Genomic DNA, 15099 nt, shown 5'->3' with positions numbered 1-15099 from the left:
ACTGTTTCGATGTCATTTTATGCATTTTTTTTAATCCTTTAAATTCTAGCAGTAAACATCATCAGTAAAGAATCTCAGAAAACCAGACAAGAAAATGAAGGTATTCGCTCTAGGCAGAGTGTACTGGGGCAAAACCATTGGCCCATATCAACAACCCTAAATACTATCAGTATTTCCCACTCCAGCTTCTCCATCTAGCGTTGTGCAGATTTGAATTCTTACATCTGTAAAATTAAGGGGAAAAACCTTTTATCTTCCTCATCAGTAATTTGTAAGTTTTAAAAGTGAATGATCCATCATACTTTGAAAAGAGCTTTACTCTTTAAGGAAAACGAGTTTAATTATTCTTTTTAATAGCAATCATCTACTGATCTGTCTGCATTTAGGGTTGACAGCTGAAGAATGAAAGAGGGGTGTCCCTTGCATTTCCGTCGGTGGCTTCTTTAATCGCACTGCTGGCTGTCATGTCCCATGGAAGCCCTCCACAGTCTGGCTGCAAGCTGTGCCCTGTGAAACCTGAACAAGCCGCCACAACCCTCCTTCTTCCTTCAATTAAAGATCCTGCCTGGGAATTGTCTCAGGTGGTTTAAGGATACAAACTTTATTCTTTTTATCACGTGTGGTTATTGACCAGACATCACCATCATCCCAGTACAGTACTAGCTATTGATTAAAGGCCCACAGGGATTGCCTGGGGCCCTGCAAACAAGTGTCAGCCTAGAACAAGGTAGATCTATGAGACATGCCCTCAGCTTCAGGGACTGTGCCCTCACTGTTGGAGGAAGCAAGAGAAAGGGGGAAAGTAAGTATTATTCAGATTTAGTCACAATCAATTGTTATCACTGGGTGGAAAAGAACAAAAAGGCAAGAATCTATTAAAGTCTCCTTACTCAAAGGAAACTTGTAATTAGTATTTGGTGTGTCGGTTTTTATAATGAGACTGCAGTAGTCTGATAATGCCACTCCAGCCCACTGTGAGAGCACTTTCCATTTTAAATCCCTGCTTTAAGGAGCTTAACGCCAGTCATCAGTGAAATCATCTGGACCGGGCTTAAACTCTGAATTTCATAGAGATAGGCATCACCACCGAGGGAATATGCTTCTTTAAAAAAACAAAAAGCTGCCTCTCTCTATTTGGTCCCTGCAGGACTGTGTCTTCAGTCCACCCTTCCCCAGCCCTCCCGCTCCCTCCCGTTCCATGCACCATGGGAGATGCCACCATCTCCAAGAGCCCATTTCTCACAGGGCTTTCCCTGCAGCTTCCCTGCTCTGTCGCAGGGACCACAGAAGTAGCTGTGACTCAGCCCTTCCCTCAGCCAGGGACTTGCCAGGCCTCACACTTGGAGGACAGAATCTTCCACTGGGAAGCGTGTGGGAGGCCCAGCCCCACTGGGCAGTGACACGGAGCTCGCTGGCTTGGCAGGTCCACGGCGGCAGGACCTCTGCTCTGATGACTGGCGTGCACCGCACTGCACAAGTGCCTTTGCAGCCCATCACAATTTTGCATCCAAGGATTATCTCAGTGTTAAATAGAGCATCACACAGGCCGTGGGAAGCCACTGAGAAGAAGCTAAGCATGTAATACAATAAAGAAATACTTTGTAGTCCGACCTGCCACATACTAGCTTGGCGATCTTGAAAAGGGGATTGAAAAATTGTGAGCTTTGTTTAAACTGGGAAAACATAATACCTATCCATCAGGCTCGACTACTTATAAGCTATATGATTTGGCCAAATTATTACCTTTATTAAACCCCCATTTTCCTACCTAGAAGATTAGGTTAATAATAACAACACTTACCTCACACAGCTGTGATGTGAGTTAACTGAGAAAATTCATGTAAAAATCTTAGCATAACACTTGAAAGACAGTGGGCATTTATTAAACGTTAGCCAATATTAATCATTATTCATCCATTCCTCTATTCACTTAACAAAGGTATGAGAATTAAATGAAAAAAGATATACAGAATGCCTAGCTAAATATCTAACACACAGTAGGTACTTGACAATTAATTTCATTTCCTCCTTCCCCTTCACAAATGGGAAAACTAAGACACAGAGACACTGAAGTCCTATCATATTTAATGTTGCTGCTAAGATCTCTGGATCAGGCAAGTCTGCAAGAAGAAATGGAAAGAGAGACAGGGAGGGAGAGAAATCTGAGCATCTCATATCTGCTTTAATTGATTTACTTCAGGTCAGACGCCAGGAGCAGTGCCATAGGTGGAAGTCCATTTAGCTGACTTGGAAAGCTCTGCTCTTGACCTCTGAGAACTGAGAGGTCTGTGAACTCATCTGAGTTGCTAAGGCTGTGGCCAGAAAGGAAAATTTCTCAGCTGCTTTTTCATACCATCGAAATGAATTAATTTTCTAAATGGAAAATTGAAGTAATTAGGTTGTAGACTGAGTGACATTTACTAAGGTGAAAAGCAGGGAAATTTTTATATCCTTTATTAAACAGTTATTAGGTATATTAAGCAATATAGAGTAATTACTTTTATTCCCCCAAATGTGATTATTCTTTTCATGCCAAGACAAGCTCAAACTCACAAGGATCCAACAGACCGTGACTATGCAGAAAAGCACCAGGTTGTATCATTACCGCTCTTCCTGGGACCTCCGTGGTGGACTGGGCAGGTGGAGAGAGTGGCCGCCACTCAAGTGGAGCAGCATAGGAATGTGGTTCTCCAGATGGCGTTCCGCTTTCTACATGCACCATGGACACACCCTTGCATGTATGCTTCATTTTACCCAATCAGCCTGTCCAACAAGGAAACTGACTCATTGATTCAAATTATTTTGAATAGCACCTACTACATGCTGGACACTGCTCTGAGGTCTCCGAGCCTACAGCAGTGAGAATAGCAGAGCAGCTTCTCACCTTCATGAGATTTGCATTCTAGAGGAAGAAAACAGACAACGAATGAAATACATAAAATACATTAGTATGTTCAAAGATCATTGCTATCGAGAAAAGGGAAATTTACTGACAGGTGCTGTTTTAATGAACCTCTAGGGGAGGTGAGGGATTTAGCCAAGCAGCTTACTGGGAAGAGCATTTTAGGCAAAAGAATCAGCATGTACAAAAGCCCTAAGATGGCCCGGAACATGGCCAGGGGGCCCAGGACCACCAAGAAGCAGGGACCGGAGAGTGACTGAATAGGGGTGGGTGGTCGGAGGAGGAACTGAGAGATGGGGAAAGGCAGTCACTGTAAGGACTTTGGTTTTTATTCTGAGCAGGGAAGTTCCCACTAACAAAACACACAGATGCCCCTGAAAACGGAATAGAAGTGGTTTTGGGAAACTCTCATTCCTCTGATGAGGATTGCCCCCATCTCCATCTCTCAGGTGATGAAATGACACATTTGTTTTAATCATAGAGTTGCCCACTGATCTGCATCGTTCCAGATGCAGATGTTTTAAAAAAACAAAAAGCTGCCTCTCTCTATTTGGTCCCTGCAGGACTGTGTCTTCAGTCCACCCTTCCCCAGCCCTCCCGCTCCCTCCTGTTCCATGCACCATGGGAGATGCCACCATCTCCAAGAGCCCATTTCTCACAGGCCTAGGAAAGGCAAGGAGGAAACAGAAATAGCACCTGACACAAGGATGAGATCCATTTTTAGAATATTGATTATGAGCCCCAAAAGAAACTCCTGTGCCTGCCGATACAAAGCTGTAATTTCACCAGGTCACTGCATCTCTCCAAGCCTTGATTTTTATATTTGAAAAATGAGTGACTGTGAAGATCACATGAGCTGGTGCATTTAAAACATTTGACATTAACTCAGGACTCAATAAATGGCAGCTATTTTTATTTAAAGAATGACTTCTTATTTCCAAACACAATTCCTACCTCCAATTCTGTGTTCTTGAGCTTTCTTGGTCTCTGAAAAAGGATACTTGGCTCCTGCCTCAATACCCATGTACCCACCTCCTACCGCATCCCCATCTTCTATTTGATGCCACTGTCTTCCTCAAAGCTTTCCCTCCACTCCCTTAAATCAGGGGTTCTCCCCAAGGAAGAACTGGTGCCCCAGGGGACATTTAGTAATATCTAGAAATATTCATGGTTGTGATAACTGGAGTCATGTAATAAATGGCTCTTAGTGGGTAGAGGCCAGGGATGCTGCTATATGTCCTACAGTGCACAGGGCAGCCCCATACAGAGAATTATCTGGCCTCAAATGGCAATCAGGCTGCAGCTGAGAAACCCTGCGCTGACAACCATAAGCAAGGCATCACCCTTTCTTTCACATTGTAAGTCCTTAATACACCTGCTTCTTCCTGATTGACTAACTGTGTGGTTCACCATTTCCCCAACAGCTCTGGCACAATTCCCAACACATGGTGGTTATAGTCAATGAGTAAGCGAGAGTTTGCCAAAACAGAATTGTATGGGAGCGACTTTATCACGTAACTCCTTCTGAAACCTGCTGACCAAAATGCCAGAGATTTGGGTTCCCATTGAGAAATTCCATATCGGCCCGGTGCGGTGGCTCACGCCTGTAATTCCAGCACTTTGGGAGGATCACCTGAGGTCGGGAATTCAAGACCAGCCTGACCAACATGGAGAAACCTCGTCTCTACTAAAAATACAAAATTAGCCGGGTGTGGTGGCACGTGCCTGTAATCCCAGCTACTCGGGAGGCTGAGGCAGGAGAACTGCTTGAACCCGGGAGGTGGAGGTTGCAGTGAGCTGAGATCACGCCATTGCACTCCAGCCTGGGCAACAAGAGCAAAACTCTTGTCTCAAAAAAAAAAAAAGGGAAAGAAAAAGAAAATTTCCATATCAAGTTTCTTCAATTTCCATATACAGTTTGAGACCCTTGCACTCTAAATGGATAAAATAAGACCAAATTAATTAGTACAATCTCTGTAATTGTTTTCCGACACAACAGTAAGGCCTTAGTAGAGAAGAAAAACATGACGTATTTTAATTTAAAACACGTTATGAGGCACAAAATGCTACCAAAGATGGCCGCCCTGTTGGCGTGGAGATGGTTGTCCGGGACCCTGCTCCCCTGAGGCGCACCACAGTAAGGCTTTACAGAGCACAAGCTCCTCTTCACAAGAGGAAGGCTGGTCCATGCAGCATCTTTGTCCATGTTGGGCAGATGCAGGAACAAGGGCGTGGAGCCAACGTTAACCACCGCTTTCCCGGTGGCTGGTGTCTCTTTGCAGTGCTTGCAAGTCACAACCATTTGTGCTGCACCTGCCCTTTTCTTTTCAGCTTATGCAAAATTATCAAGACCCTCTTACTCTAGAGAAATGTACCATTACTGCACAAATAAGGCATGCAGAAGAACTGGAAACTAAGGAGCCTCATGAGACAGAAACTCAGAATCAATATGTAATGGGTAGAGCCAGCTATCTGAAAAGAAGCCAACCCTAGAAAGTGATTTGTGAGTGAGCGTGTGAGGAGACACTGGAGAATCCAAACCCACACAACACAGCGAGGGCTTCATTTCAAGGGAATATGTTTGAATACAAAAGAAAGTGGTAACCTAAGCCACCTTCTTGTCAGTTCACTTTGCTATAACAGTGTACAATAGACTGGGTGGTTTAAACAACAGAAATGTATTTCTCACAGTTCTGGAAGCTGGGAAGTCCAAGATCAAGGTGCCTGTCAATTTGGTTTCTGAGGAGGGCCCTCTGCCTGGTTTGCAACCTTCTCACTGTCTCCCCACGTGGCAGAGAGAGGAAGGGTGCTGGTCTCTCCCTTTTCTTATAAGGGCACTAATTCCATCATGTGCTCCACCCTCGTGACCCCATCTAAACTTAACCACCTCCCAAAGGCCCCACCTCCTAACTCCATCCCAGGGGGATTAAAGCTTCAACATATAAGTTGGGGTGTGGGGGATGAAAGACAAACATCCGGTCCACGGCAGCTACTGATTCTTGACAGATAATAGACCTTATGTTCACAGAAGATCGTGTTCTCATGAGGTCTAGAGAGAGGGAAGTAGTCACTGTCAACCTCTCCCACCACCTTCTAGAAGTTTCTGTCCCTTGGCTTTCTCCTGCTTAGCTGCCTCTGTCCAGCTCTGTCTCAGGCCCCTTCACTCACTCTTCCCCTCTCTAAGCCTCAGTTTCCTCATCTGTCACATGGAAGACAGCAGCATCTGCCTCACTATATATGGTCACTGTGAGCGGTTGGCAAATGGGAGGCCCTGATGGATGTTAACTTCCCTTCTCTATGTTTGGAAGTTTACTTTCATCTCTGCCCAAGTACTACTGCCATTTTCCTAGTGTGGTTAATCTTAAGTGTTAGAAAAAAGCCGTTTGGTTGAATGAATTTATATCAACATGTTCCTGATTAATAAATTATTGATCCTTCAAAAGGCATTTGTCATTTTTAGGGTCCATGTTAACCAAAAAGATTAAACAACTGGTAGGCTTGTGAACTTCAGACAGTATGACACAACGAAATGAAAAAAGTTCAGGCTAATATTGACGAGGAATCAGCCTTTGACATCAGCTGCCCAAGATCGTTCCATTTCTCAGCCTCACCTTCCACCCGAGACCAAAGATTCTCTATGAGTTTTGCATGGAACTGCCTGGTGTTGTCAGTGACTTTGTCTATTTTAGCCCAGTTCTCTACAGGCCACACCACACTTCCTCCCTGCCACTCTTCTCCAGGCAGGTACACTAGTATGAAAACAAAGAACTGAGCACCCTGCCCTATACTGTCCCTCTGCACTCCACCCCGCATACACCATTATTTGTCTTGAAGTGACCTGGGGCAGTGTACGTGGTTCTACACATTCGTGCACATTGGGTTGGCAAAGAGGTAGCAGAAGCAACAGCCACCTGGAGCATCTGAAGGACCTGGAGTTAATTCGATTTCTATCAAATGGCTCAGAAAACTATGTTTGTCAGCCACCACGCCAACCGCAAAAGCCCAGAATTATCCCTCAGTTCCGTGGCCTGAGTCATATCTTGTGATAATGAATTTGGATGAACTCCTTAATCAGACAGATCTGGGTTTGAATCTCAGCTCTATCATTTAATACCTTTGCACTTTCAGAGAAGTTATTTATTCCTTTGAAGCTTAAATATCTTGCTCAGTAAAATGGGTTGAGAATGGTATCTTCCTCCCTGGAAGGGTAAGCTGAGATCTCAGGTGGGTGATAGCTGAGCCCAGCACCCATTGCCTTTGAAAGTGCTGGAAACCTGTGAGCTGGCACCATTGTTGTTGGTGCTATTACCACCTCCCGGGAAGCAAGACTTCCAGTCCTGCTCAAGCTCCCCGGCACCCTTGCTTGGGCCATGCTAGAACTGGGTGCATGGTGCTCCTCGGATACTCATGCACCCATCCTGCAGAGGCAGCTGCCCTGCAGTGGGTTGCTCTTTGAAGGACGTACTTTTTAAATATTCTCATGCACTAGCCTGCTCGTCTCCTCTAGTTCAATGGTTTTCCTAAAAGAGATGAAAGGAGTGAACTAGATGTTACTGAAGCAGTGGAAATTCGAAAACGGTGAATGGGTGGCAGAGAGGCAAAATTTTTATCTAGTTCCAGTGATTTTTAAGATTTGCCAGTCATTGCCCACCAACATCTCAGAATCACAGAAGCCCCCAGCCACTTCCCCCCCATCTCTGCCTTCCCATGTTCCAGCTGTCACTCCCACCCACGGCATGGGGCAAACCCCTGCCACTAAGCCCCAGAAACGCTGAGGCTCCTCTCTGCTTCTAAAAAAATATGCTGAAAGTGAAAAAGCAGACGGCATTAAGAAGTAAAAAAATCAATCCTACAACTTGTTTAAGCAAAGTAAGTTCCATAGGAAGCCCTAAAATAATGACTGTCAAGGGAAGTGCTGTTATGGTTGGCATATTCATTGGTAGCAGACAAAATTATGTTGTTTGAAACTTGCCAATCCAGTAGTGCAGAGAAAGTTGGGGGATGAGGATCCTATTTCTAATCTACTGCCTTCTTTAAAGAAGGCACTTAGGATCAGCTGCCCTGAGGGGAATTGGAGACTTGTAAGGTAAAAAAGCCAGTTCTGGCAACAAGGTTAAAGTTCTAGTAAAGTCGAAGTGCCCGGATTACTATGGTAAAGACTTTTTTGGGGTAGGAGTTGTCCATGATGTCATGTTTCATACTGAGGTTTCAGGGAAGCACTGGGCAAGGCCAGCCATCTCCTCTCCCTCCCTCAACTGCCCAGCTGTCTATTATACCAGCCCCTGAGAGCCCTGAGGAGCAAAACCACCCCCAGGAGGCACCGTTCCCTGCAGGACATGCCAGCTGAGCTTCTGCCCACAGGCTTTCCCTTCTGAGCCCCTTCAAGCGAGGGGAGGAAGCTGGGCTGAGTGTCAGGCCTTGTCATTTTAGACAGCGTGCAGATGCCCTGCGGTGATGTCACCAGCCACCCGAGCTCAGAGATGTCAGATACCCGCAGCCCAATTCATCATGAAGCTGGAAATATGACAGTCCTGGGAGAAACACTGACAGACAGGCAGAGCCCATGTGGCTTTGTCAAATTAAGAAAAATAAAGGCTGGAAGACTGTTTCCATAGATATGCTAATGAATTTTGATTTGGGAAGAAAGAGGAACCCTGATTTTAGATGGAATTGCTACCAAATGTTCTCAGATCTAGTGCACAGCACATTCCCGACTACAACACGTCACCCCAATTGGGAGTCTATGGAGCTCCGATAGCAAGGGCAGAATAGCTTGCTTGAAAGCAGGAACTACACAAGAGGGTATTTCATGAAGCATTTTTGTTAGCCCTAAAATACTGTGCAATTCTAGGAGGGTAAAAATGGGTTCAATGTGGCAAATGTCTATAGATCACCAGCCTCAGTGTGCTGCCATGCACGGTGCCATGGAAGAAACAACGGTAAGAAACACATAACTCGTGGCATGAAGACTCTTAAATTCTAAGGAATAATTAGACAAAGACAAAGACGCTACAAAATAGGGAGCAAAATGTCCGTGTCAGTGAGAAGCCCCAGGTGCTGTAGAGATTCAAAGAAGAGAGAGATCCGGTCAGGTGCATGGGGATGAGGGAGGGTTTTAGCAAGGGCCTTGCAGGACAGAAGTTTAGAAATTATCTCGAAAAACAGAATTAGTGAACAGATAGGTGAATTCCAGCCTTAGGGAACCACATAAAGCCATAAAGACACAACCATGAAAGTGCAGGTATGAGGGGAATTCGTCCACCCATTCATTAGCGAATTCCGCAGTTACCAAGGACCCGGTACGTGCCCGGCACGTCTCCAGGCGGCAGAGGCAGAGCGGTGAATGACACAGACTGCCAGAGCGCCAAGCATCAGGCCAGAAACGCATCCGTGGGAGGTATCGTGGAGCACGGCAGTCCAGTAGGAGATGGGATGGAGTGTGGCTGCGCGGCTACTGAATAAAGGGTCAGGTGTGTGCTCAGTGAGTCACACTCAGGCTGAGGGCTAGATGATGGAGCCCACTCGGGAGGAATGAGTCCCGGTGGAGGGAGGAGCCAGCCCACAGCCGAGGTGGGAATGATTGCCTGTCTGCAGGCCAGTGTGGCTGGAATAGCGGAGGGGAGAGAAGGGGCTCAACGTGAGGACCAGGGAGCTACTGAACTGTGCCCGCCAGGGGACAAGGTTGGGTTTTATCGTAGGCGAGTTGGGACACCTATAGAGATTCTAAGCAAGAGGTGATAGGATCTGATCCATGTCTTGGAAAGACGGTGTTGGGTGCTGAGTGTGAAGGACCAGGATGGAAGCAGGGACTCCTGCGGAGAAGCCTTTTCCACGGGCTGGGGCAAGACACCATAATGGTGTGCACAGGTGAGGCTATGGTGGGCACGCTTGAGGATGCTCCCAGGGTTCAAAACGGCAGCTCCTACTTGTGTTCTTGAAATAAACCCGGAAGAAGAAAAGAGAATGGCAAGATTTTTGCCTTAAGCAACTGCTGGACCTAGTTTGTGAGATGAATATGGCTGTGTGAGGGCAAATTTATGAAGGAAATTCTACTTTGGCCAAATTAAGTTTGAGATTACCATAAGGATTCACAGTAAGACATCAAGAAGGAATACACACACACACACACACACACACATACACATTGTTGACAAAGAAAAAAATGGAAAAAAAAGGCAGTAGTTGAAAGAGGAGGTGGGGTAAGCTTTTTTGTTTTTTATGTTTTTATTTTTGAGATGGAGTTTCACTCCTGTTGCCCAGGCAGGAGTGCAATGGTGCAATCTCGGTTCACTGCAACCTCTACCTCCCGGGTTCAAGTGATACTCCTGACTCAACCTCCTGAGCATCTGGGACTACAGGTGCGCACCACCATGCCCACCTAGTTTTTTATTTTTATTTTTAGTAGAGATGGGGTTTCACCATGTTGGCCAGGCTGGTCTCAAACTCCTGAGCACAGGTTATCCACCCACCTTGGCCTCTCAAATTGCTGGAACTACAGGCATGAGCCACCACGCCTGGCCAGCTTTTTTATCTTAAAATCAAAACTATTAGAACGTTTTTATACATTTCTCTCCATCCAAATACAGTGGATAAAACAGAAATGTATATCACAATTCATAACCATTTCTGATAGAAAAAGGAGAAAGAATAATTATAAGAAAACCAAGAAACTCAAATTAAAACAATAATGAGATAATCTTTTCACCCAACAGAGTGAAAAAAATTAAAATGTCAGTAATACCCATTGCTCATGCAGATGTGGGGAAATGAGCACTTTCATGCACTTTTGACAGAAGCATAAATTAGCCCAATATTTTTTGGAGTCAGTTTGGAGACAGCTGTTGAAGCAATTAGATAGACAATTCCATTTGAAATTTATTCTGCAAAAATAGGCACAATAACCAGTCAAAATGAATGTATATGCATGTTCATTGCCTCATCTTTTGTAAGACAGTAATGAAGTAAATCATTTTACATCTACATAAAGAAATACTCTTTAAACATACTGACATAGAAAAATGCCTGTATTTTAAATGGAAAAAAGCAAATGGATGATATAGTGGATGCATAAGATTCTAATTTTATTATACATATTTACATTTGCCTGCGCCTATGTAAGATTTTACAGAGGGGAGAAGGGATTGGAAAGGTGCACATCTATTAACTGCAGCTGTCTTTGGGTGGTGAGAAGGAGAGGGGAGTCTTCCTTTTCACTTTGTATATTTCAGTGTGGTTAACATTTGTATAATGAGAAACGTCAATTTTAAAGATTAACAATAGCAACTGAAGATAAATATTAGAAATCTGCACAGGACAGAACAAAAATAGTAGAACACAGAGCACTACACATGAGCATTCTCAGTGCTGGTGGGGTGCGGAGAAACAGCCACCGCCATGCACTGATGTGGGAAGTTAACCCAGGAAATTTGGGAGAACAACCTTGGAAATACTGTGTTAATGTCTCTGAAGTGTATATGCCCTTAGCTGCACTAAAGACACTTCTAGGAACCTGTGCTCACGGTCCAATCAAAGATGTACAGAAGAGCATCCTCACTGCCACATTTTCATTGTGGCAATGAGCATCCTTTTCTGCAAATCTTTGGACTCTGAATATAGGTTCCTAGAAGTGTATTTAGTGCAGGAAAATGAGGATGCTCATTTTCACTATTACTTATAATAGTGAAAATTTTCAAGAAACATATCATTTAATATTAGATCAATGGTTTTATAACTCACATTTAAATAGACCATGGCATGTCAGGCGGCATCAATATCATGTTTCTGGAGATTACTGAATAACATGGGACATGTTTACAATATGTGCTAAGCATAAAATCAAGATGCAAATTTCTTCACATTGCATAATCCCTGTTTTACTCACAAATAAATGTATATTCATCCATTAAAAGTAACATTTGAAGAAACTCATCTAAAAATTGACAGTGATTACCTCTTCATAGCAAAATTAGAATTTAATTTATTCTTTTTATAATTCTATTTTTTCCTAAATGTTCTTCAGTGGGTATGCCTTTGTTTTATAATCAGAATATCTGAATGGGAAAAAATATTAAATTAGTGACATGGTTTGGCTGTGTCCCCACCCAAACCCCAACTTGAATTCTATCTCCTAGAATTCCCATGTGTTGTGGGAGGGACCCAAAGACAGGTAATTGAATCATGGGGGGCTGGTGTTTCCTGTGCTATTCTCGTGATAGTGAGTAAGTCTCACGAGATCTGAAGGGTTTATTGCTTCCTCCTCATTTTTCTCTTGCCCCCATCATGTAAGAAGTGCCTTTCACCTCCCGCCATGATTCTGAGGCCTCTCCAGCCATGTGGAACTGTAAGTCCAATTAAACCTCTTTTTCTTTCCAGTCTCAGGTATGTCTTTATCAGCAGCATGAAAATGGACTAATACGATTAGTACACCTATTTGTCTCAGAGCTCATAGGATTTTGTACTTTTGCTCAACTTTAAAAGCCTCTGAAGGTAACTCAACTAAAGTAGAAATTGCCTCCATAAAACAGGTACATTGTGAACATTCATTACTGTCCACTTTTTACACATTCCCAGTCATCAATGTTAAGATGCATGAATTTCCAGGGGTACCTGGGAAATATATGAGCCCAGGCTCAGGGCAGCATCTGTCAGTACAACAGAAGGTCATTCCACAGCAGAAATTGAAATGGATGTTATTTGCTCTAACAAACGCTGATTGCATTCCAGACCTATAAATCACATGCACACATGTGGAACTGATGGGCCCAGACAGTGGCAAGCCAACGTCTGTATAAATGGCACCTTGTCCATCTTTATCCTAAGCTCCTAAACCAGGTCTAGTTCCAGCAAAAGTTGATCACTCCAGATATAATCCATACCAACTCACACCCAACTTGTCCTAAACCATGTGAGCTTCATCTATTGCCAGGTGTCCTATAGATGTCTTAGACACTTCAAATGGTTGGAAAATGCTCACAGAACTGCCTCCACCTAGGTTAAACCCCAGAGCAACAAATTTAAATCAGCTGAGGCCAGTCTACAACCGCCCCCCCTCCCCGCCCCAGAAGAGAAGCTGGCTGAGCTGTCAGGGTGCCAGAATTGCAGTCTTGTTCATCTCTGAACTCATACTTGGAAGCTCAGTAAGAGGCATACTATTAGTTCATATTAGAAACAGTTACTGAATGCCAAATAGTAAGCTAAGCCCTTGATGTTTGTCATATAATTTTATCATTATAACAGCCCTATGAGACAGAAAACTCCTATTATCCCCATTTTAGAGATGAGGACCTAGGACTCCGAGAGGTTAAGAAACATGTCCAAGGTCACACAGCTCACAGATGATGGAGCTGGAATTTGAATCCAAGTGGTCTGTTTCCTAGTCCCCACATGTACCTGCTAGGATGTATACCAACCACATGGACTTTCAATGCCAGTGTCGTAGGACTATGTGACTTGGATGTATATACTGTGTGTTTCCAAGCACTTGTACACAGTGAGACTTCAACAAATATCAGCCACTGTTATTAAACCTCCAAGACAAGGCATCAGAAAGAAGGAACAACAAAGATTTCTAGGGATTTCTGGCACTGTCCATTTCTCAGTTCTACTATCCACCTTGTGCAAGGTGAACCACTTCCCCAAGCGGGAACCACCAGTCTTTGCATTTCTTCAAGCACTGATGGCTGCTGGAGAAGGAGGCAGCACAGAGAGCCTGGGGAAGGTTCATGGGTGACACTGTGTGACTTGGGCGGAGAGCAGCCTCTCTGTGCTGGGTGAGTGGGATAATGATTCCTGCCCTTATTGTCTTCACATGCTAATCAGAATTAATTGGGGAAATCATTGTGAACTCTAGGTCCTCTTAGATTAGTGCTTAATTATAATACATCATTTGCTGAGAATAAGTACTTGGACCCTGGAGATGAATCCTCTCTCCTTATCCCTTCAATAAGGATTCAGTTCCAGACTTATGCTCTATCATTTCTTCTCAAAATACAAGAAAAATAACAAATCGTTATTTTATCCCTCTCTTTCATTTTTAATCAAACAGATTAAATAGAAAGATAAAGAGCCATTTTAAAATCATGAACTTTTTTTAAGCATCATAAGATTGTTCATTCCATAGAATCAATGGTGTACGGTCTGCTCATATATCTTGAAGTTACATTACATTCTGGTATTTTCTATCACCATCATTTAGTGTTTTAGTTGTAAACATGCTACATAACACAGAGGCCACTCACTGTCAAAGGGTCATATGCGACAGGACAAATGGCCACTGGCCTGTCCCCACCCCTTCCACTTAAATGTTGGAAGGAATGTGGGGGACCTGCGGAAGTGGGGGACCACATTCCTTACATGTTGAATGTTTCCAAAGAGCCCTCTCCTCATTGCCTCTGCAGTGACTGCCAGTATTCTCATCCGCAGGGTTCAACACAGCCAGACTCATACCGAATGCAAAAAGCTACCCCTAACAAAACACCAGAACTTTGCATCAGGAAATTCAGTCATGCTTCGCTTGGCTGATCTCAAATATCTGAGCGTGTGTACTAGTCTTCTGTCACTGATGGTCTGTCTAGAAAGGGCTTCTGTGGTTCCTTCCTCTCCCTCTTGCCAGCTCCCCCACACCAATATTTCTTTAAATCAAAGGAAACTATTATCTTGTAAAGGTTTTAACATGCATATGTCCTTAGAACCTCTAAACTGTTATAAAAATCATACGATTAGTCACTTGGCACATGCCCAGACCTAAGCTCAGGAGGCATTGCAGACCGTTCCATGCCTCAGGCACAGCCTGAAGAGCATCTCTGGCCTCTGCAGTCACCCCAGGCCCTGCTGCTGAGACCTTGACCCCTCCAAGTCCCTCCACGCAGCGGGCTGGCCACTCTTCCAGGAAGCTGCTGCAGGACAGACTCCAGCAGACTACTCAGGATTCAAGGATGCGTGAAGGTTAGAGCATTAATATACATCCACATCCTTCAGATGCAAGAGTAATGATGAAATAATCGTCCCCGGATAACGGGATGAGTCAGAGGAGGTTCCAGGAATAGACTCCAGATTTCCATCTCGTATCACCATTCAACATCACCACTAGGAGACTTCTACGAGGGCAAAGTGACCTCACACGTGTTCTGAGCCCAAAAATATTTGTCTCGAATGCTTTTCCAACTCCTCTCAAGCTATAATAAACTGAACTTTAAATC

The 15099-nt window shown here is 44.1% G+C and overlaps 1 annotated feature.

The window, feature by feature from the left end:
* Positions 14503 to 14552: an enhancer, noted in NCBI's record as "active region_25424". NCBI's record gives its function as "activates an Ori minimal core promoter by ATAC-STARR-seq in GM12878 lymphoblastoid cells {active_cell/tissue: GM12878}" and the evidence as "EXISTENCE:reporter gene assay evidence [ECO:0000049][PMID:35858748]".

The sequence above is a fragment of the Homo sapiens genome, chromosome 6 (genome assembly GCF_000001405.40).
Source record: "Homo sapiens chromosome 6, GRCh38.p14 Primary Assembly".
NCBI classification, from domain to species: domain Eukaryota; kingdom Metazoa; phylum Chordata; class Mammalia; order Primates; family Hominidae; genus Homo; species Homo sapiens.
The sequence above is the reverse complement of the archived record's forward strand: the minus strand, read 5'-3'. Positions and strand labels throughout refer to the sequence as shown.